General features: G+C 35.4%; 1 protein-coding gene across 2 annotated transcripts in view; it reads right to left on the bottom strand.

Moving 5' to 3' along the window:
* The window catches only part of HS2ST1 (heparan sulfate 2-O-sulfotransferase 1), a 195,348-nt gene that overhangs the window by 16,383 nt on the left and 153,510 nt on the right, over window positions 1–25,455 (bottom strand). For both annotated transcript variants that reach the window (NM_012262.4, NM_001134492.2), the window contains exons 2-4: window positions 20,428–20,666; window positions 9,321–9,406; window positions 931–1,069 (exon numbers count right to left, since the gene is read on the bottom strand). In NM_012262.4, the coding sequence (NP_036394.1) occupies window positions 931–1,069; window positions 9,321–9,406; window positions 20,428–20,666 (464 nt within the window). The remainder of the gene's footprint in view (window positions 1–930; window positions 1,070–9,320; window positions 9,407–20,427; window positions 20,667–25,455) is intronic.

Raw genomic sequence — 25,455 nt, 5'->3', positions numbered from 1 at the left:
GACAGTAGGTAAACTGGTAATCCAAATATCACAAAATAAATGCTTAAAAGAGAGCTTTGAATGAAGTGCTCTGGGAGCCCTGAAAGAGATATGACTCACTGCCTGGAGGCATCAGAAAAGACTTTACGGAAGTGGTCATGTTTGAGCTAGATCTTAAAGGTGGATAAAGAGTTTTCCAGAGTAAAGGAAAGGCATTCTCAATATAGGGAATAATACATGTGTAAAAAAGTATGAAGCATTAATAACTTAAGCAATAAGTTCAGAGGATGGTGACATTTCATGTGGCCGAAGCACTGGACACCTAAAGGAAAATCAGACAGGAGAGCTAGGTCTGAGATCGTGTCCAGTTGTGTCTCCTATGTCTTAATCCATGAGCATGAAGTCCCAGTAAAGGTTTTCCACCAGAGAAGTGACAAATCAGTTTGATTTCTTAGAAATGTAACTCTGGTGATACTCTAGAAAATGCAGTGAAATGGAAGACAACCCAAATTTGAGCCTGTTAAGAACTTTGTTGAGCCATTATTCTCTTCTTGCCAGAAAAAAATAGCTGCTTCAGCAAAATAGTGTCCTTAAACTGATGATCACAAATATAAACTGCCATCAATACTTAGAGAACCAAAAAATACACAAAAATATATCATATTAGTGAATAATTACAATAATCGCACAGAAAATTGTTAATAGAACCATAAAGAAAACACGATTCCGCCCTGGAAAAGAAATATTTTTAAAAATCACAAAAAAATGTATATTACAATATATCAGCTATATAATTTTCTTCATTTTGCTTCTTTATATTTTGGGTTCTCTTCAAAATTTCCACAATAAGCAAGTAATAAATTTATAATTAACAACAAATTTTAAAAGCACATTGCTCACTGCAGTTCATAAACAATTATCTTTATAAAAATCTTAAAACTAAAATATTACCTTTTTGTCTCCTTGTTTTCGTCTCCGTAACCCTGGTCTATAATCATCTCCAAATCTCAGAAAGTAATAATAAGAAACTAGCCTCTCAATAGGATCCCTTATGACATTAATGTAAATTGGTTTCTTCTTCACACCAAATCTGAAATACAACAAAATTTCAAAGGTGAAATCAACATTTTCAATCTGTTTAGGAGTGCCCTGAAATTACATGTTTAAGTCTGAAGTACTGGTCCTATAAGGAAAAAAGAACATGAATTAATTTAAATAATTTGTGTATGTGTATGTGGCGATTGGGAACTATTTCATGATTATTCATGTCAGAATAAAGTAAACAAGAAATATGAATTTAAAAACTATGTCTGAAGATAAAGGAGATAAAAATGAATGAAAAATAATTTTAAACTTTACCAGCAAGAATTATATAAAACATTTTATTTCTATGCCTTCATTATACTTTAAGTCCAAGTAGAAAATCCCCTCTCAAATTAGTACCCACATATTACTAGGAAAGAATTTAATATTTATAATTTTTAAGCAAACTTATTTTAAAAATTGCTTTATTACATTCCTGAATAAATCATCTGCTGCTACAGAAAGTTTCAAATCTGCATTAACTATGTAGCAATGATTTCTCACTTCTGGCTCATCACACTAGCCAGATTTGATAGTGTTTTTTGAACACCATCAATGGATACAGCATTAGTGAACACAAGTGTGAACATGTCAATCTACCTTCTGTTGCTGATTTTAAAGACAAGATAGAGGTGAAAGACACTAGGTTTTCAGCATTATTTCCTTAGGGAATGATAAAGAGTTGATGGAACACTGAAGAATTTTACTTTAGCAACCCTTGCAAACCCTAGAACTGTACAACTGGCTCCCTGTTTTATTATACACCCTTGTCCCAGTCTTAAAATGTTACAGCTATCTTGATTCTTACTTTTCCATTATTCTTCATTTAATAAAATTTCAAAGTCATTTTGATTTGTTTTGTAAGCTTTCTCGCAGATGTGACCTGTCTTCATCATTCTTTCTCTTTACCACTTCCCTTTTTCTCAGTGCTTGCTTAGATTACTGCAAGAATATAGTTTTCTAACATTCAGTTTCTCTCCCTTTCAATCTATCTTCCATACCAATTCTCAAAGGATGTTCCTAAACATCATTTGTTAAATCACTCTTCTTAGGAATCTGAAATAACTCTACTGATTTATCGATATGAAACCCAAACTCCTTTGCTGGTTGTCTTAGGATTCTTTTACCTTATGTCTTAGGTACCACCTTATTGATCTAACTTTTTCTTTAACTCTCCTCAAACAAGAAACCATTTATCTGTTATAGTTAGGTTGGCCTCTTTTATCTCCTCCCATATCAATACTTATTCTATTTCTCTTTATATATCTTTGCTTATTCTGTCTTCCTTGAGTGCCGCTCTCATTTTTCTTTTTTCTACATTAATTCCTTCAAAAATACTTTTTGTATGAACCCAATATTGCCAGATATAATACTATTCTAGGTACTAGGAATACAGCAATGAACAAAAAGACTAAATTTCTTGTCCTTCTAGAGCTAACATTCTACTTGGGACAGATAGGCAATAAACAAATAAGCATATATAACAGATGGTAAAAAGTGCAAAGGAGAAAAATAATTCAGTGAAAGGGAATAAGGAGTGCTAGGGAGGTGAGGGAGAATACAATTCAAAATTGTGTTTTTTGGGAAGACATCACTAGTCTTATGTAATGAGGAAGGTACCATGCAAACATCTGTGAGAAAGTGTTCTGGAAAGATGGGATTTCCAACTAAGAGGTCCTTGAGGCAGCTAAGTGCCAGGTGTTTTGAGGAACAGCAAGGAGATCAAGCTGCCTGTAGAATCAAAAAGGGAATACCATGGAAGATAAGAGAGGTGGGGGTGAGGTGGAGTGAGTGCAGACTGTGTGGGTCTTCTATACTGTTACAAGCATTACTTTATACAGAGTCAGGAGGGAGGCCACTGAAAGATTTAAAAAGAGAATTACCATGACACAACTCATATTAAAAGGTCATTGGCTGCTGTTTTGGAATAAACAGAGGGGCTACAACAAAATCTTGTGACCTCTCTTCCTGATGACTCTAGCATACAGTTCTATGTGCTTTCATTTGACACATCCTGCACCTAAGAGCTATCAAGCAACTTAACTCTTAGCTTATCCTACTAGTGTTTCTCCTGTAAGTCTTTCTCCCCAACAGCATTATAAGTCACCTGAGGGTAGGCATAGTACCAATAGTGCAGTAAAATTTTCTTTCACAGTTTTTTTTAAAAGAAGGACAGTACTGTTGCAAATACATAGCACTGTCACATTCGGTATTAGAGTAGAAGTTCCACCGGGGCAGGGACCATTTCTCTCTTGTTCATGGCTTTATCACTAATGCTCAGCACTGTGCCCAACACACAGGTGCTGAATATTAATAGAATTAGGTTGAGGAGACCGTTGTGAATTAGCCACTAACAAAAGCCTTCCTGCCAGAGAGTACACTGAGTAGTAAGAAAGTAAGGAGGCAACAGCAATATATTGCTGCTCCCTTAGCTCACAGAGCTGAGAGGTTTTTAATAGGAAACTACAAGGAGAGATTACAGGACAATGGGTTAGTGATTCCATTCTTAAGACTGAGATTCCTGGGAATCCTCTCTATCCTCTCCATTATTAGCCACTGCTCCATCCTGAGCCATTCCTTTGAGAATAATCTCCTCGCAGAAGAACATCTCCTACCAATGTTTCCTCCTTTCCCCTAGTCCCTGACATGTGGAGCAGACAGCAATTACCAGGCAGCAGTAAAAGGGAATATGGCATTTTACAAAACTCTTTTTGCTGTCCAGGAAAATGACTATCTATGTGTGGAATGGCTTTGGGTGGCATTTATTAGGAAGTATGATTTTAATGAGATATAATCTGTGAACTCATTTTGAAAATGGATATGAACTATGATATGTAACTTAGGGAACAGTTATATAGACACGAAGGGCTGGAGGCAAGGGATTATAACAGATAATGGGCATGATTAAAAATAGCAACTGGACCACACAGCTCAGCCAGTTAGAAAACAAGAGCTAACGAGGTTTGCTGGTTTTACTCTTTTGCCAACCAGCTAGTTTCTATAGGAGCTAGTTTATATAGGAAGTCTGTGGTCAGACCTCACCTTTAACTCTGGTCAATCATTTCAGCTATTTCTCAACAAAGCTCAGGTAGAAGAATAAAAACCCATTTCTACTAGCAGAAAATAAACTACTGTTGACCTGTTAGAACACGATCTTCCTGGGAAAAGAAGAGCATATTTGGTAGGAATCTGCAGATGAAAATCAGAAACGAAAAGATATAATCTGAGCAGCAGGTTGGTAAAAAGATATTTTAGGAATTTCATTCTTGCCATGTCAGCATACGAAGTGTGACAAAGCAAGAACATAAACTAGGCTCATTTTTTTACAATTACATTCTATCAATAGCCTATCAAGTGAACAGTATCAATATGCAAATGAACAACAATAATGGTTAAAAGATCAACTGCACACTCAGAACATTTGTAAGGAACCTTGTCAACTGGCTGGAAAAAGTCAAAAAAGGAGGTGATGAACCTGAAAGAGGGCTGAATGGCCTTTGGGAATCATTATGTTTTGAAATCTTTCTGCTTCATACTAAATTTAACTTCTCTACTTAGGCAACAATCTTGCTGGAGACATTGTACATAGTTATTCTGGACTCTCTCAGACCTAAAGCTTCATAGAAACTTTCTAATCCTAGTGGCAAGGTCCCACTGTCCTGTATCCAAAAAAGTGAATGACCTGTTGGTATTTGTTGGTCTCACTGATGATAGTGTAAATAAATATTTTTAAAGTAATTTATGTCTTAAAAAGGGGCATTCATCAACTGTGCACCTATTAGAATGGCTCACATTTTGTAATAAAGAGCAAGTCTAACAATTTCAAATGCTAGTGAGGATACACAACAGCTGGAACTCTTAAAACACTGTTGGTTTGGTGGCAAAATGATACAATCACTTGGGAAAACAGTTTGGCAGTTTCTTATTGAGTTACCATACAATCCAGCCATCCCACTTTGAGGTTTTTATCCAAGAGAAGTTAAGACATAAGTCCGCACAAAACCTGTATGCAAATGTTTTGACAGCTTTATTCATAATCACCAAAAGCCATAAACAACCTCAATATCCAGAAACTGGTGAATGGATCAATCGAAGTACACCCATACATGAAGTACTACTTAGCAAGGAACTAACTACTGATATGTGCATCAAATTAGATGAATGTCAAAAGCATCATGTTAAATGAAAGAAGACACTCAAAAGACTTGATGACTGATAAGATATAGGTGGTGATAAAAAAAAGTTGTCCAAGATTACTTGAAAGTTTCTTGTTTGGGTGTCATGACAGACAAAAATGTGTAAACCTTCCAAAAGAGAATAATGGAGGCTAAGAGTCTTATACAATGCCCAATTAAGAGTTGGAAATAAGGACCAGCAGAGATTCAGACAAGGAGAAGAAGAAAACACCAGTTAAGACAATATGGTAACTGAAAGAAGACAGAATTTTAAAAAGAATCACCATACTGCTCTGCGTGAGGCACAGAACTAAGTGCTCCATCTACATTATCACATTTAATCCTCACCACCACCCCATGAAGTAATTACTTTAATTATTCTCAAATTAAAAACAGGACACTGAAGCTCAAAGATCTGAAACAATGTGGGTGAGATCACACAGCTAGCAAGGAGTCTAAGTGGATTTAATGGCAGATCTGTCTGACTTTAGAGACAGACTTCAGAGATTGCTTCTTAGCAGTCTACAGGATCAATGCTGTAGAAAGAGCTAGTAGTACAAGGTTAATAAAAACGCAACTCCCACATATTGTCTGGAATGATTAAAATAATTTTCTAAAGTATCTACAATGTTGTGACATATTTGTTAAAAGTTGTAGAAAATGGGGCAAACGTCAACTGGTTTAGCAGAGAAGTATTAGGTAGAAAGGACAATCTCACATGACTCTATATATTAACTAATTCTATTTAGGCCTAAAATGTTGTCACTTGATTACTGTTTAGAATTTCAGACCTAATGAAGCATTTAGTTGTTTCTTGTCGTGACATAGCTGCTTCTTTACTGATTCACCTCACTTGTTCTGAAAATGATACTAGCGGCAATATGGAGGAACCAAAATGGCAGCAATGAAAACTCATTCTCATTTCTAGGGACAACTACAAAGGTACATACCTGATACGTGCCTGAATAAAACTGTTATATCAAAAATAATTTTCAAATACCTCTCAAGACAGATGCTGACATGTGACACTGAGGTAGCTAGATCATAAAAAACTTAGCAGAGTCTGACAGAAAGTACAGCATTAAAAGTGTTCTTTTAGCTATTATTCATTATAAATGAAAATGTTTATTGCTGAAGAAGTGTTTTTGAAAGAGACTTCTAACATTTTAATTTTCTAAAGTTTGAAGAAAATCAAAATGGGCTAATAGATGCTATTAAAAAATAAATAGTGCACATTTAAAAGGGGAGGAATATTTAATATTTTTACTGTTTATAATAAAACTTCATGAACTGGTAATTACAGAAAAAAAGATTTCAGTGAACTCATTAAGGTCAAGAACTGCAACTTACTCAACTTTATATTTCCTGCATACTATGACATTTTGAAAATGTCCAACCTATATACAATTTTAAACTGGAAAATTTTCAAATTTATAATAATTTATATCTACATTATCTTAAAATTGTATCATTCACCAATTAAAAAGAAAACAAAACATAACCTAACATTAAAGGGAAAAATGGAAAGGAAGAAGAACTAGGAAATATACTTTAAAAAAATCAAAGAATAAGATTCAGACAAAAAGGAGCAAGATGGGATAGGAATGCAAAAATGTAAAAAAGATATTTTTGTTATTATTCTAAAGTTCAGTAAAAAACAAATGTATGTAATCAAAACATGGCTTGAGTAGACAAGCTTGCAAATATAATGTGTATTTCTTCGTGGTCGGGCTAAACTAGAAAGGAGCGTTCATTTTTTATTTCTCTATCTTATTTCCTAGGTTTCTTGGGGCTTACATTCGTTTTAATGTCTCTGATAAGGTAAGTTTAAAAAAACTATGTGTTAAATAAGTATTTTGCCAAATTCACCACTTTCTCCTGAAAGCAAGTATTTTACTGGACTCCACAAAGTACTATGCCAGTCAAGAATATTGTTTTGAAGAGTAAAGCACAATTGACCCTTGAACAACACGAGTCTGAACTGTGCAGGCCCATGCATACATAGATTTTTTTCAACCACACACAGATACAGTACTTGAGAGATGTGAAACCCGTGTACAAGGGGTGACTTTCAAATTCGTGGGTTTCACAGGGCCAACGGAGGGACTTGAGTATGCGATTTTTATATACTCAGGCAGTCCGAGAACCAATACCCTGGACATACCCCAGGAACGACTGTAATCTAAAAAATTGGTAAGGCGATGTTTCTTTCCTTTTCCTTCCCCATTTATGGAGCATATGGCTATTAAGCTAAAAGATATTTGAGGATACTAGTTACATCTACAACAGTTCTTGATTACATAGATACATCAAAATACATTTCACCTAGGCTGATTTTGTTTAGGTATTTAAAATCTTGGAAAAATCTATGAAAAATTTTCACAATACTTTTCCCTTCAAATAACATAAGACTCACTATGAAAATATTCAAACGCTTAAAAATTCATGTCAGCATTTAATAAATGAGATTAATCTCTTCAAAAAGCCTTATTTTTTCAACTACAAGAACCTCAGCATATATCAGAGCTTTGTTCTAAGTATAAGACTTTGCCAAAAGCAAAAGCACTCAATTTATAATTTTAATAATGAAAACCTAGACTATTAGAAACCAAGCTGTGTGTGGAAAGAATAAATCATTTAGGTGAAAGGGTAACAAACATTCAATTCAAGGATAATGCAGCCCTGAGGGAAAATATGCACATGAACGAAGCTTATGAAATTGGTTCAATGCCTATGCAAAGAAAAAAATAATTAGTTTATTTTAAAGCTGCCTATAAAATATTTTCAATATTGCAGTATGAATTATTTATAGAAAAACATACATCTAACTTTAGAGCTACAATTTGATTGAAAGATCTTGAGTACTATGAGAGGAACTAGAAATAGGAACATATCACTTTATGTATGTAATATTTGGGTGATTCTTTTTTAATTACATGATTTCCCAAAAAGTTAAGATTATCAGTTTGAATCAGTAATACTTCATTCTACTTTTTCTTTTCAAAATTAAGTAAAACTGAGAGTGGGATATCACTTTTATTTTAAATTTTATAAAAAATGCCTTTTAAAGTTGACCAATATATCAAGGTGTGTTACTCTGAAATCATAATAGCTAATTTAAAAACTGAATAAACATGTCTAAGCTAAATAATAAAAAAAATTTTTTTAGTGTTTTTGAAGTTAATGCAGAATCTTAGGGAAAACATTTGGATTTGAGGTTTACTACAATGGTACTATGTGTACTACCAAAAAAGTTCAAATGTATCCATAAGACTGTTATGTTTGGAATATTAAGTTTAATTAATTTTCTGATTAATAATGTGGCACAGACTGTACAGAAAGCCACATAGTACTTGAATACTGTGAGTAGGCATATAGTTTTCTGAACCCTTCTTGAGAGAACTATTAATATGACAGAGGCCGGGCACAGTGGCTCATGCCTATAATCCCAGCACTTTGGGAGGCTGAGGCAGGAGGATCACCTGAGTCCAGGAGTGAGTGAGTGAGTGAGTGAGTGAGTGAGTGACAGGGAGGGAGAGAGAGCAAGAGAGAAGGAGAGAGGGAGAGAGGGAGAAGGAGAGGGGGGGTGAGAGAGGAAATCATGAATTTTTTTTAAAAAAGCCTCGTAATACATCATAATTTTAAAGCTAAAATAAGGTAGCCCAAGGGAAAGTGTACACTTCAGTATGTCTTGGGTGAGAAGCAGACACACTGGAGCACCAATAACTTAGTGAGAGCTTTTTTGCTTTCTCAATGATGTGGTAAGTCATAATCTGGCCTCTAGGTTATAACTTGAGCTCTCCTGAAGTAGTGTCATTCTGGTTGTACAAGGCATATACACACAATAATAATAAACTTTAAAGAGTAATAACTAATATGTAATTAATATAAGAATTGCCAATTTATGAACACTAGAGGGCAGTAAAACACTAAGAAGGTATATTTAAATTACAGATCTAAAACTGGCAAAGGCAAGACAGTACATTCTTTTATTAGAAAATCATAACAATTTAATGAATTTATTCCTTTTTAGGTTACTAGAGTACAAAGCATTCTTTAGCGTGTCATTTCAGTGTAACTTACTTTGCAAAATCCAAGTAAGAAACGTGTCCATGATAAAATCCTGGTTTCATCTCTTTCCAGGAAGTTATATTCTTTACAAAGCGCACCTAAAAAGGGAGAACACATTCATTATATACAATTTAAAGAAAATGAAATTTGATGATAGCAAAATATTTCCAAGATAGGAATTTAAAAACCTAAAACCACTTTTACAGAGCTTGAAACACAGGTTTGGACTAAGGAAAGTATACTGTAATCTGTAACTATTAAAATTCATCATAGAGACAGCTACTATCATTATACTCACAAAAGAGTGAAAGATGATTCTGAAAACAAAATGGCACAATGAAATCCTTTACAATGCTGTAGAGTGAGTACATTTACATAGGGTGGGAGGAGGGTCGTTGTGGGGGTGTATGTATCTACACCCTGCCAACACACATGCTAAAGCAGGCAATACAGGAACATTCCAGCATATCAAATGTTTTCTTCTCAGAGGCTTGCTGTTCATAAAAGTTTATTTTTATTAATGACTCAACAAATAAAAAGTAATATTTAAAACCAAAATGATTTTTAAAAAGGTGATGGTTATCAGAAGATATTTAAGAGTTAAGAGCAGATATCACAAGCTTGTTGATAAAAAGATTAATAAAATTAGAGATGTAATACAGGTCAAAATATTTAAAATTTCTAAATATTTAACTTATTGGAATTAACGTACACAAAAATTAATATGAAAAATTATATAAGTATATTTTAATATGTCTAAAACTGGTTAATATAGAATTTGATAAACCTAAGTATCACTAGCTGCAAAGCAGTGATATACAATTTCTCAATGGAAAATGGTATACATTTTTGATAAGCAAATCTCTGCATGATAAATAGCAAGTGGTTAAGAATCTCTTTTAGAACCTAGATAGAGTGCAGAAAGTGGGGGCAGTGAGGTCCACCAACCTGTACCGCACCGAAACCATCTGCAAGCTATGACTTCAGCCTCTCAAACACAGAACTGTCAATTGCATAATTCTGACAACTTATCAATCTTTCACTTACATCATAGAATAGGGGTAGTCACATGGAGATATTCTGGAACACTTCATACTACACTACACTCAATAATATCAATGAATGATGATAGCTGCCTCCTGTTAAAGGCCTATTGGTAGGTGAGGGAGGGGAAACAGTGCAGATATAGCTATATGTCAGAGAATGTGAACTAGAGAAAAATGGAAGAGTTCTGGGATAATTTATCTTTAGGGGAAGCATTAATAACTCACATACTAAGAGAAATTATGAAGCTTTTAGAATGGAAATGGTTATATGCCTTACTTGGCCTCTCAATACACATATACATCCTTAAATTAAAATCTGAAAAATGAATTGCAGATAAAAATTAGTTTGCATTAGAAAGTATACAATGTCATTTTAGCAGATATTTTCAATTTTTTTCCCCACTGAAACTGAAAGAGCCAAATAAATGTGATTTGAGGTTTTCATGTTCTTTCCAATTCTTCAACTAAGGCATCAAACAGAATGAAAATACCAAATTGCAAATGAAACAGAAACAAAATATAAAATTAAATAATCCAGAGCCTGCATCTTTAACATACTTTACATGCTGAATATGAAAAGTCTTTATAACTGCCACTTAATGGTAGATTATTTCCTATAAACCTTTGGTTCTATGAAAATCAGTTCTAGTATTTCAGCCAAAAATGAGAGGAAAAAAGAAGGCAAAGAGAATAAGGCATTGAAGATGGTGGCTAAAGTGAGCTTAAGATATATTTAGCAACTCACCTCTGTTTTCCAGAAGCTGAGATTTAATGTGGACATGGTGATGTAGGAGGGAAATGAAAGATGCTACATTGAGGTCTGAAAAAACAGTGTTATATAAACTAAACAGCAGGGAAGATCATATAGTACAAGCTTGGAGTATACTGTAGTGAAAGACGTGGGCAGAAGTAAGAGTCAGGTACAAATTCAAGTATTCTTTTTCCTCCAACAAAGCTTCCTAAGGATGGTCAATATTAAACTAAACCCTCTCCTGAGGATGAATGATATCTCATCCAATGTGTACCCTTCAACACAAAGTGAAAAAAGCCCAGGAAGCTGGATAATGTCTACACTACTGCAAGACTTCTCATTTCTTCTGGGTTTTCCAATTTATTGGCATATAGTTGCTCATAGTAGCCTCTAATGATCCTTTGAATTTCTGTGGTATTAGTTGTAAGGTCTCCCTTTTTATCCTGGGCTAAAAGTTTCTTGATTTTGTTTATCTCTTCAAAAAAACCTTCTTTTTTTTTCTTTTTTTTCTTTTTTTTTTTTTTGAGACGGAGTCTTGCTGTCGCCAGGCTGGAATGTAGTGACACGATCTCAGCTCACTGCAACCTCCGCCTTCCAGGTTCAAGTGATTCTCCTGCCTCAGCCTCCTGAGTAGCTGGGACTAGAGCACCCAGATAATTTTTGTATTTTTAAGTAGAGACGGGGTTTCACCATGTTGGCCAGGACGGTCTCGATCTCTTGACCTCGTGATCTGCCCGCCTCGGCCTCCCAAAATGCTGAGATTACTCATCTTTTTGTATTTTTTTGTTTCAATTTCATTTATTTCTGTTCTGATCATCATTATTTCTTCTATTCATTTTGGATTTGGTTTGCTCTTGCTTTTCTAGCTCTTTAAGATGCAACACTAGGTTGTTTATTTGAAGTTTGTCTACTTTTTTGATATAGGCACTGATTGCAATAAACTTTCCTGTTAGCACAGATTTTGCTGTATCCCATACATTTTGGAAGGCTGTATTTCCATTTTCATTTCTTTCAAGAAATTGTTAAATTTCCTTCTTAATTTATTGACCCACTGGTCACTCAGGAGCACGTTGTTTAATTTCCATGTGTCTTGCTATTGGTTTCTAGTTTTATTCCACTGTGATCAGAGAAGATATTTGATATAATTTCAATTTTTTTTTGAACTTTTAAAGACTTGTTTTGTGACTTAACATATGGTCTATCCTTGACAATGACCCATATGCTGAGGAGAAGAATGTGTATTCTGCAGTCACTGCATGAAATGTTCTGTAAATATCTATTAGGTCCATTTGGTGTAAGCTGCAGATTAAGTATGATATTTCTTTGTGGTTTTTCTGTCTGGGTGTTCTGTCCAGTGCTGAAAGAAGGGTCTTCAAGTCTCTAGCTATTATTGTATTGGGGTCTATCTATCTCTTTAGCTCTAGTAATATTTGCTTTATATATCTGGATGCTCCAGTGTTGGACAGACGTATGTTTAAAAATTTTATATTCTCTTGCTGAATTGACTCCTTTATCATTATTTAGGACCCCCAAGCACTTTAGCCCATGGTGGCAGGGGCTGCTGGAACTGAAATACCAACTGCTGAGATGGAAGATTAACCTCTGGCTAGAGCTGTCTAAACGTTCCTTCTGTGGGCACCAGCTGAGCTCTGCCCCTTGTTACTTTCTGATGTGACAGGGCAGCACCATATTCAAACGCAAAGTCCCGCAATCACTGTGCTCTCCCCCTACCCAGGGTGCAGATTCTCTTTCTGCGCCATGTGGCAGCTACCAGGGGGAATGGAGGAGGGGTGGTATAGGAGATATAAGACTGTGTTTCCTATCCTCTTCAGTGCCTCTTTCCTTAATATGTTAAAACTAGGTACTATGATTGCTCACCTGATTTTTGGTTCTTATGGGGGTGCTTTTTTGTGTGGATAGTTTTTCAATTTGATGTTCCTGCTGGGGGACAATTGCTGAAGGCTTCTATTTGGCCATATTGCTCTGTCTTCCTCCCCCATATCATGATTCTGCTTTAACAAATTGGACACTGAAAATCTCAACTTCTATCCACTACTAAGGCAATCCCTCAGATCCAGTCGTTCAAAACTACTCCATCTCTCCAACATCTCAAAGCTCTGTTGATATAACTCTCTCAATTGTTTATTTCCTTATGAATTCATTCATCAACTTTATTGTCATATCAACTTCCCATTCACCCTGATCACTACTCTCTTTACCGGACAACCATTTTAACAATAACCCTTGACGTTTGTTCCCTTGTCTTTTTATTATCTTGGGTAACCACTGGGATTGCTGAGTACTCCTGGTTGAAACCAAGAGACTACATCTAAATATCTATGTAGGATTTTGAATTTTACTTCCTAAATCCATGCTATCTGAGGTAAATTCAGGTGATTATTATTGCTTTAAAATTCTCTAGAATCTATTTGTTTTTTCTTTCTTGAGACAGAATCTCATTCTGTCACTCATGCCGGACAGCACAGTGGCATGATCATAACTCACTGTAACCTCTAACTCCTGGGCTCAAGTGGTCCTCCCACCTCAGCCTCCCAAGTAGCCAGCACTGCAGGAGTACACCACCATGCCAAGCCAAGATTTAAAGAAAAAAAAAATTTTTTTTTTTTTTTGTAGAGTTGTTACCAGGGCTGTTCTTAAACTCCTGGGCTCAAGTGATCCTCCCACCTCAGCCTCCCAGAATCCCAAAGTGCTCACAGGCCTGAGCCACTGTGCCTGGCCTCTACTATTGTTAAAGTCCTCAAAACACACAGAATCTCTTTCTAAGCTCAAACTAAAAGCATACTAAAGGCTAGACATGTAATATATCTGGCATACGTATTTTTCTTTCATCTCATCAGCATTTAACTAAGGCAATATGTTAAAGTTTCATTAACATAGCTGTGGCCGATTTAAAATTTACAATGAATCAAAAGATGCTGAACTGAGGTTTACCTTCTCTTTATGACGAAGAAAAAAGTGTGAAGCAAATAAATGATGTCAGTATGGCTAACATGGTTCACACTAATCTAGAAAACAGTCTGAGCATTTGAAAGTGTTGGCCAGGTGCAGTGGCTCACGCCTATAATCCTAGCACTTTGGAAAGCCGAGGCGGGTGGACTTCCTGAGCTCAGGGGTTTGAGACCAGCCAAGGCAACATGGTAAAACCCCGTCCCTACTAAAATACAAAAAATTAGCCAGGCGTGGTGGCTCATGCCTGTAATCCTAGCTACACGGGAGGCTGAGACAGGAGAATCGCTTGGACCCGGGAGGTGGAGGTTGCAGTGAGCCTAGATCGCACCACTGCACTCCAGCCTGGTCCAGCCTGGGCGACCGAGCAAGGCTGTGTCTCAAAAAAAAAAAAAGTATCATTTACATACTGCTGAAATTCCATATTATCTTTATCTCCTCTTCAAAACTGTTCTCCAAGGAAATAATATGAGTAACTCCCTTTGAAAAACAGTACTTTTAAAAGTTTTATTTTTAAAGTATTAATTCGGCCACTTCTCCTTTTACAGTTTAATATTTATCCTTAGTTCTCCAGAACTTTCCTGGTCTCTACTCTTTCACCTTCATCTTTTCTCTCTCATCAGTCTAGTCCCAGTTCTGCTCTATCATGATCTGCCTTCTCACCTCCCTGCACCACTTGCTTTGTCTTTCAGTTTGTTTTCTTCTGGTATTTCTCTTGGGCATGCTGCCTAAGACCTTGAGACAAGGTTTGAAAATACAGAGGAGTAAGAAGAGGACACTGAGATTAGGTAAGCAAACTTCTACTCAGTTCACTTTATGGATTCTTACTGACTATACTTGGCACAAATGAAAGGTAAAGTGATAGGCCAAAAAAGGAGCAAAACTTAATAGTATCAATTGAAGTTAAGGAGACTGAAGACACTGAAAACTCTGGCTTGGGGAGAAGAAATAAGGCCACTACAGTGACTTTAGTCATAGAAAATTTTCATACTCTGACTGAAATATGCTACCAAGAAGAATGTTTCAGATGTAGTAGTCAGATATAGTACATGAAACGCAGCTAGCCTGAAGCAGAGTGTAAACCGTGATTTTTGTTGGATTTGATGACTCAAGTCAGGCTAGCAAGTAATAAGAAGAGACCTTAAGGAAAAACACAAACAATATAGGTAATGGTGTTGGGGTTTTTTGTTAGTTGAATCAGACCTAAACTGATGTTACAGGAAAAAGCTAAGAAGCACCCTTCTCACTAACAGTAGTGTCTTGACCTATATTCTTAATAGATCAACCTCAATATTATGATTATCTGTGATAACAAAAGCATTTGTTTTCACTATCTAAAAGAGCAGGAATGTCATCCTGAACATTCTGGCCAAATTCCAACTCTGTAATTACTATCTGTTGAATGAATGCTACTATTAACTTGAGTAATTACTATCTACCAAACTCCCACTCATGCATTTACTTAAACATTTCTTGTATGGCTGTGGGTACTTTTATGAGACTAAGCCAGGGAGAAAGTTTTCTACACTCACAGGAAAACAAAGTAGTGGTTGGATAAAAATATAAGAAAAGTTTGCAGTAATTGAACATATCTTCACTGAAGTTCAGAGCTGTGCTGTTCAACCTGTTTTAGGAGTGTAGGGCAGGGGGCTGGTTCCCAATCCACCTGAGAGATAAGAATAGATCATACTGCTGTCAATCAGAGGTGCTCACTCTGCCAGTAATTATTATCATCTACCGCTATCAAAATCTATGTTGGTCCATTTGTTCATTCATTCATCATTTATTTAACAAAAAATGTATAGTTTCTACTATGTCTCAGGCACTATTCTAAACATAAGGGATATAGTAGTGAACAAGACAGACAAGGTTCCTATCCTTAAAGATCTTATAATAGAGGAAAAGACAGGCAGTAAACAAACCAATATATAAGATAAGTTAGTAAGCTGATTAGTACCAGAGAAGACACAACAAGAGTGATACAGTACACAGTAACTTAGAAGAGGTAATTAATATGTAGGATGGCCAGGCATGGTTTTTCTAAGAGGATGTCATTAAACCTTAAATGGATAACATGAAGCCAACTCTGGAAGAAGCCAGGAGAAGTGCATTCTAAGAGGAAAGGATAAGTGCGGAGGCCTTAAAATGGGAAAGGCTTGGCGTATTCAATGAAACACAAGGCCAGTGTGGCTAGTGGGTAAGAAGTTGGTGCACACAAGGGCTAGATTAAAAAGGGCCTCTTGGTCTATGTAAGAAATGTGGATTTTGTAGGGGAGGTAGGAATAACAATTTAAAGATAAGTACCCTACCATCCTGGGAAGACTAAAGTATTCATCTTCCCATATCCCTACTGAGAATCATCATCTGTATCTTTGTTACTCAAACTGCAGTTTAAAGACCAGCGGCATTAATTTTGGCATCCAGTGGGAGTTGTTTAAAAATTGAAAACTGGGCTCCATCTTGGTCCTTCTGAATCTGAATCTGCATTTTAACCAGTGATTAGCATACACATTATAGGTGGAGAAAATTCATCTAAAGTGCTGCTCTGAAAAGTATCTGCAACTCCTGGTGAACTGTGGGCTCTAACGCAGATAACCTAAAGTTGGCTTGAGAGTGAATTTCAAAAAGAAAAAAATTCATGTTGTTCTTCAGAGAATACAAATTCTAGGTATTTCCAATGTTTTAACAAAAGGGGTTATATATAATCATAGACCTAAACATATGAGAGCAAAAAAGAATTCTTTTTTTGAAAAATCATAAAAGATGTGGCTAATCACATATATGGTATGGCTAAACACATGACAGCAAAGCAAACTCCATTTTTCAACTAGAAGAGTTGATTGATTACCTATCTCTTGCCAATTCCTCTCTATTAACTAAGTAAAGCCCATCGCAAAAATGTATCTTTAATGACTGAGTCCACACCTTATTCTAATTGCTTAGTTTCTCATACCTTATATTCTCAAATGTTTATCTTTTAATATCCTTCTTTTAACTTTTCAACTTTTTTATTTAAAAAAATTTCTAAACTACAGAAAAGATGAAAAAATAGGACAGTGAACATCTCTATACTCTTCACCTAGATTCACTAATTATTAACATTTTGTCACTTTTATCTTTTTTCTCTATGTATGCACATACATACTCAATTTTTTCTGACCTATTTGAAAGCAAATAGTTGTCATTCATATTTAACCCCTAATTACCTCAGCATGTACTATGTCTATGAACAAAGATATCATTTTTGATCAAGGATCTGATCACAGACCATACATTACATTTGGTTTCCATGTCTCTCTAGTCTAGAGAAGCCTCCCTCCAACTTTTTTGGTTGTTATGATACTGACACTTTAGAAGTCAGTTGTTCTGTAGAATATTCTACATTAATTTGTTTTCTCGGGATTAGGTCCAAATCAAACATTTTGGTAGGGAACACTTTTGGTTAAATATTTCAGTGAGATCACCACAAATTGATGTTTTATTTTAACTGTTTTCATAGCCCCTGTGTTTATGTTTTATGTTCCCAAGTAAATTTTAAATAAGCTCCTTCAAGGATGTGGCCATGCTTTCTATTTCTTTGTTATTTCCCCAAAGAATGTAGTACAACCTTTGTGTATATTACATACACAACAAATAAATGAAAAACTCAAAAGCAGAGTTGACAACTATTTCTAAGGATAGCAGAATATATATAACTATTATACATTGAGTGGTTTTATACCAGACTAAAAATATTTGGGCTTTGCCTCTAAAATTTTTGAGACAAATAATTAAGCAGGTAAACAGTTTAGAACAATACCTAATATAGTATGTACAAAAAATGTCTAGGAAAGCTGGGGCTAAAGGCAGATATCAAGCAGACTGAACTAAGATTGGAAGGTGAGGGAATAAAGAGGATGGTCAGGTAACATATCTCAAAATATTTTTATGAGTAAACTGAGCTTTACACGGAAGCTGGAGACAACAGATTTAAGAAAGATCTCATCTTTTAAGTTGTACTTGATTAGAAACTATTTCTTAGAGAAGAAAAAAGAGCAAAATAGTTCATTTAATTCTTATTTAAGCAGCTGAGAGGCCAGGCGCCTGTAATCCCAGCACTTTGGGAGGCCTAGGTGGGCGGATCACCTGAGGTCAGGAGTTTGTGACCAGCCTGACTAACACGGTGAGACTCTGTCTCTACTAAAAATACAAAAATTAGCTGGGCGTGGTGGCGCATGCCTATAATCCTCGCTACTTGGGAGGCTGAGGCAGAATTGCTTGAACGTGGGAGGCAGAGGTTGCAATGAGCCGAGATCGCACCATTGCACTCCAGCCTGGGAAGCAAGAGCAAAACCCTGTCTCCAAAAAAAAAAAAAAAAAAAAAAAAGGTAGCTGAGAACAGTACACAGAGACAACAAAATATGATATTATTAAAATAAAAGTGTGTTATATCAGATGGGGTTCAGGGAATATTTAAAAATTATTTTTAAGAAATACAGTGCAATTTTTAGTTTACATTTAGATGAAGCTTACTAGATTAAAAGTGAAGTAAACATGAAAACATGTCACACAAAAGAAGGGGAAGCAGTAAATATAACTTGTTTGAAGAACTGCGTCTACATAGAACAAGAGATCACAAAACTGGAGATAGGGTATATAAAGAACATTTGTTAAGTAAGTTACTCTTAATTAAGATCAGGTTTTGGACTACCAGCTGATAATTTTGAAGTATGTCAGCTAATGATTAAGACTATTCTTCTGCGCTGCCCCACACAAACATTTTTTAAGTGTTGGTCATTATGCAATCCAATTGCTTTTAAGATAGCATTTATGCTTCTCTCCTGCTGTTTTTTTTTTCCTATACATAACCAACAAGTTATTAAAAGAAAAACAGAAGCTTTATCTCATCCAAATGCAACTGGGAAAATATACTACTACATGATGCCTATAAATGTCATATGTGGTGAGCTCCTCCAGATTTATATTTCATGAAAATAATGGTTGATGTCATTGCCAGACATCTTGCAGTTACCAGGACTTTGTAATGCTGAACAAACAAATTAACATTATTTTTCTAAAAAGTACTACTGAATAAATCTGAAATTATTATCTAAGCATGAATACATATTCCTTTTAAACCAAAGCATATTTTGAAAAGCAGTAATGCAAAAAGATTTAAAACCTACTACACACTGTATAAAAACAGAATATTTAGGATACTTGTCCTTGAGATACACAATATTACATAATGAATAGTTTTTATGACACACATAGCTAAAAACAACTCATGTTTCTTCTCATTCATAGAAGAGTTATTTGGTTTGGCCGACAGATGTGGAATTTTGGTTCTACAAAAAAGAGTACTCCAGGATTCTGCAAAGAGCCAAAAATTACATGGGCAGATGACATACCATATACTACTAGCCTTTACAAACAGCTCTCTAGCAAGAAAGCCAACCTTAGTCTTGTGTCTCAATGTAATTCTCTTGTTTAAGTGTAAGGATTATAGTTATGCTAAATAGTGAGATGACAGTCAATTCTGTAACAAGTTCACTGCTTTCAAACAGATAAATATCATTGTAACTACAGGACCATCACAAATATCTTTCTAATAAGCCTACTCCAATTTGGTATTTGATCCTAAGTAGTATTTGCAAACATTATCTTTCCTTCTCATGGGGTGGAATTCCCATGCCCTTCCATATTTATAGAGAGAACTTTATTTATAATTGCAGTCAAAATTCCAGGTGTGGGAGAAATGTATGCTACTACTATTAAAGAGATGAGCAAATTTTATTTCATAAGATAATTTCCTCTACTTTTCTTAAAACCATTTCACAAAATTATTTATTCATCTGTTTATCTAAAACTTCGTGAGAATTTAAAAGGTAAGATTATGTTGAAGAAGCCACAACTAAACTATATATACATTTATAAGCAATGTATATATAAACTCTCTCTGTATCTATCTCTATCTCTATCTAGTAAAGAGGGGCTGGTCACAAAATTGAATACAAGTATCCATCAAATATTTCTCCATCATAAGTTGAGACAATAATTTTTATTGCAGGGTATCATGCCAAAATTATATTTTTAAAAGGATACTATGCTCAGGAACATCAGTTTTCTCAAAAATTCAAGCTATTCATTAATTCATTTACTTCACAAATATTTGAGTACATACTATATGCAAGGAAATGTGTCAAATACTGTCAAGTAAAATTATACAAAAGTTAGCTGGCCCTCTCCCCTAAAAGGCTTATGATCCACTGAGATCAGCACTCACATCCCTTTAAAATACTTTATCCCCTTGAGCTAGAAAATTTGAGTGAGGAAGTATTAGAAAATATTTGGGCATTCCTTAAGTGGTAATTACCTGATCTTGCAATGACATCACTGGATTATTTTTGGTAGTGTTGATATGAAGGACATGGTATTTATTCTTTGCACACAGGTCATAGGCGATATTGGTAAATGAAGTGCTTGCCGTTTTGGGAACTCTGTTATAAATGATCACCATGTCCTCTTCCTCATCTAAAGTGGCATCTTGCCGAGGGCCATCCATTGTATGTCGCTGCTCAATTTCTCGGACTTCGTGTCTTGCAATAGCCCTTTCTGGAAAGAAAAACAGATACGAACTAAGTTTTTAAGGACACTATAAGGAAGTTATGAACACTGAACTTTGGACCATGATTAGAAAAGATACAAAAAAGAAAACAAAAAACAAAAGCAAAGAACCAAGGGATATGGAAAACATGGGTAAATTGCTTGGGTTTCTAAGAGGATCTAGTTGATTCTAAAACAGCTGTACAGCCTGGAACATAATCTTCCTATTCAAGAACTAGGTAAGAGCTGTTGAAGAAATGTTTTGAGGACCAAAGCTTCAGAATTCCTTATGAAGGATAATACATATGTATATCAAGAACAAAAAGGAATAAAGAGTCAACAAATGCAGAATAGCACAGACCACAGAGTACTTCAGTGCAGTTCAAAAGTCACTTTACATTCTAATAGAATTCCTACAGCCTGAACTAATTCTCAAACACACAAAGATTGCATGGAATACTAAACTTCACAGTATAAAAATGCACTTAAAAGAGAAATTACTTATAATTTAAGAAAAGGTTTTGAAATTTATTACCCGATTTAGTTATTCTCTGGTTTATAAAAATGTAGCAGGACAGTGATTATAAAGTGATTATAAATTATAAATTAAAAAACTGTAACAGGACAGTGATTATAAAGTGATTATAAATGCTAATATGACTTAACAAGAGTAGAAACAATATGACTTAGAAGGGTAGAAACAATACTACCATAAATCCTTTTTCTTTTTGGTGTTGCATTAGAAACTATGTTTAGCACATGGCTATGCTTTTCACTTAAATTTCATGGTTCCTCTAAAATTACCTATCTGCTATGTGGTTTCAAAAGCAGTTACATTTTGCTTTCTAGTATTCTCTATTTAATGCAAACTTCAGCTTCAAATATATATATTCAAATATCTATACATTCTAATATACATTCAAATATATATTTTTTCTTTTATAAATATATATGAATAAGGATGCAAGAAAAGGAGAGGAAAGAAGGAAATGAGGAGCGTGAAATCTCTAGCAAGATTGCAAATACTTTGCACGGGGATAGTTACACATATAGCACGTACTCTCTTAACCCCCAAGTCTTTGTGCAAGCTATCTCACCTATCTTGAACAATCTTCCATTTCCCCACCCAACCTTTACATTTCAACTCAATTGCTTCCCAGGGAAGCATCTGATAGCTCTGACTAGGTCAAATCATCTTTTTTTTTTTTTTTTTCGGAGACAGAGTCTCGCTTTGTCACCCAGGCTGGAGTACAGTGGTTCGAACTTGGCTCACTGCAACCTCTGCCTCCTGGGTTCAAGCAATTCTCTGCCTCAGCCTACTGAGTAGCTGGGATTACAGGCACCCGCCACCACACCCAGCTAATTTTTGTATTTTTAGTAGAGACACGGTTTCACCATCTTGGCCAGGCTGGTCTTGAACTCCTGACCTCGTGATCCACCCGCCTCGGCCTCCCAAAGTGCTGGGATTACAGGCATGAGCCCCTACGCCCGGCTATCTTTTAAAAAATATACATTCATCTATCTTATACTACATGTCTCACTATATTTATCATAATTGCAGTTTTACATTGTATGTGTGGTTATTAGTGTCCCCTATGATGCTGACAACTTAATAAAGTAAGATGAAAAGCAATGTGGTATAATTACAGCAACAAGTGCAGACTTCAAATATTGTCAGAGCATGCATCTTTGATTTTGGTTGAAAAGATATGGACACCATGTTATATAGAATACACTCTGAGCTGAGGATTTGCATTCAAAAAACCAGAATTAAAAATTCCAGGCCTGCTGCTTACTAGCAGTGGGCCTTCCAAAACAGAAGTACATATATGAGAGATATACGTATGTGTTATATATTTATATGCAAATATACATACTCTTTTATTCTGGGGGAAGGTATGAACTGAAAATGGAGAGAGAAAGACATAATGAGCTTAATATTGAATACACTGTTGGATAGCCTGGGTCATCCAGGAGATATAAGATAATTGGGTTTATAGGTGTACAGTTGAGAATAAAGGTTCAAGTAGCAGATAGACAGCTGCCTAGACAATATACAGTATGTAGCACAGACAGAGACCCTAGGATAGAATCTTAGATGATACCAATATTTAAAAGGCAAGTAGGAAAAGATAATCCATAAAATAAACTAAGAATAAGAAAGAAAAAAGAGCCAGGAGAGACTTTAAAGAAGCACATACCATACTATTTTTTAAATCAATAGTGCTTTATAAATAAACCTACAAATCAAGGTAACATACGATAAGCATCCATACAAGATTTGGAAGTTGTCTTAGATTAAATTCAACTAATTTGTATTGAGAACCTATGAACATTATTATTATTTTTTTGAGACAGGGTCTCACTCTGTCACCCAGGCTGGAGTGCAGTGGTGTGACCATGGCTCACTGCAGCCTCGACCTCCCCAGGCTTAGGTTATCCTCCCACATCAGCCTCCCAAGTAGCTGGGACTACAGGTGCACATGATCACATCTGGCTAATTTTTGTATTTTTTGTAGAGACGGCGTTTCACCATGTTGCCCAGGCTGGTCTTGAACTCCCAGGCTCAAGTGATCCTCCCTCCTCAGCCTCCCAAGGTGTTGGGATTGTAGGTGTGAGCCACTGTACCTGGCCTGAACATTATTATATTCAACAATTTTAAAGGAACATTATCTTCTAAACAGTTCAAAACTATTATGGTAATGTTACGTCCAAACACCCTCCCCTTTTCTACTAAGGGAAATACAACAGTGGTGTTGGCATTTAAGCGCTGACAGAAGCGTGAGAGGTTTCCTCTAGCAACACAGACATATGTGAAATTGCCTTTAAAAGATTCACCCACTCACACAAGTAGGAGTTTGCGCTAAAGAAAAAAAAAGATTCACTTACAATCAACAATGCTGAATTTACTCACACTAGTTTTTTCTTCAAATCAAATACTTGGAAAAAAAGATTTTTTGTGTTATTTCATAAGCAGGTATCTATTTTATCTATAAAAAACATGAGACAAACTGCAAAATTGTTTTAAAATTACCTCATCAACTTTGCTACACCTCCGGCAGGGCCATGAAACAAATATGTTTTTAAAAAGTAATTATTATTCTTGGTTCATTATATGTATTAAATCATATAAACTGTGTATTTCATACAATTTTAGAAATGTCTTAAATTATGAAAAGGTAGAAATATTGGCATCACTACTTTCCTCATTCAAATAGTATTTACATGCATTTTCTATTTTTCAAGTGTTTTTACTTTGCTTAAATATATAGGACAATTATTAATATAATGTTAGGCCTAAAACTACATAAAAAGATAAAAAATGTATGGAAAATTAAGAACAATTTTGTTAGTAATATTAAATCACATCTCAGTTGAACAGCAGTAACTATTATTGATGATAAATTACTATCTTTCTTCTGTGGCAATACTTAAAATCAATCAGTGTTTTCAATATGGTCATTTTCTTTATTTACTAAGTAAGTATTAGATAGTTATAATTCTTTTTTTTAGCAAAGATGCTCTACATCTAGTTAGTGCAGCCTCTTGTGAGGCTTTCTTAAATCACTGAAGAAAGTTAACTAGTTATGCCACATTTGCAGTGCACTTAGAATGTAGGCAGTATATTCAAAATACTTAGGATACATTTTGTCGTAATGTTTTCTTCATCTTTGAGTAATAAATTGCAGTTCACCCTTGAACAACATGGATTTGAACTGCATGAGTCCAATACGTGGATTCTTTTTCAATAAAATTTACACTGAGTGTGCCTGCTTCTCCTGCCTCCTACCTCCTTTATCTCTTCTGCCTCTGGCATCCATGAGACAGCAAGACTAGGCCCACCTCTTCCTCCTCAGCCTGCTCAGTGTGAAGATGATGAGGATGAAGATGTTTGTGATAATCTATTTCCCCTTAACAAATAGAAAACTTAACATATTTTCTCAGAGCCTGGCCTGGTGGCGTGCACCTGTAGTCCCAGCTACTGCTACTCAGGAGTTGAGGGAGGAGGATTGCTTAAGCCGAGGAGTTTGAGACAAGCCTGGGCAACCCAGCTAGACCCCCATCTCTTAAAAAAAAATTTTAAATAAAAAAATAAAAAATACATATTTTCTATTTCTTGTATGTTAAATAACATTTTCTTTTCTCTAGTTTACTTTATTGTAAGAATATAGTATATAGCGTTACAAGAATACAGCATGCAATATACAATATGTGTTAATCAACTGTTTATTGATTGGCCAGGCTTCTGGCCAACAGTAAGCTATTAATAGTTAAGTTTAAAGGTGTTGGGAAGTCCTTTGACAACCGGTGCAAGACAAAGATGCCCTCTCTCACCACTCCTATTCAACATAGTATTGGAAGTTCTGGCCAGGGCAATCAGGCAGGAGAAAGAAATAAAGGGTATTCAATTAGGAAAAGAGGAAGTCATATTGTCTCTGTTTGCAGATGACATGATTGTATATTTAGAAAACCCCATCGTCTCAGCCCAAAATCTCCTTAAGCTGATAAGCAACTTCAGCAAAGTCTCAGGATACAAAATCAATGTGCAAAAATCACAAGCATTCCTATACACCAATAATAGAGAGCCAAATCATGAGTGAACTCCCATTCACAATTGCTACAAAGAGAATAAAATACCTAGGAATCCAGCTTACAAGGGATGTGAAGGACCTCGTCAAGGAGAACTATAAACTTTGCTCAAGGTAATAAGAGAGGACACAAATAAATGGAAAAACACTCCATGCTCATGGATAGGAAGAATCAGTATCATGAAAATGGCCATACTGCCCAAGGTAAT

This window comes from Homo sapiens, chromosome 1 (assembly GCF_000001405.40).
Source record: "Homo sapiens chromosome 1, GRCh38.p14 Primary Assembly".
NCBI lineage: Eukaryota > Metazoa > Chordata > Mammalia > Primates > Hominidae > Homo > Homo sapiens.
Note: the sequence above shows the minus strand (reverse complement) of the source record. Positions and strands in the feature narration are given on the sequence as shown.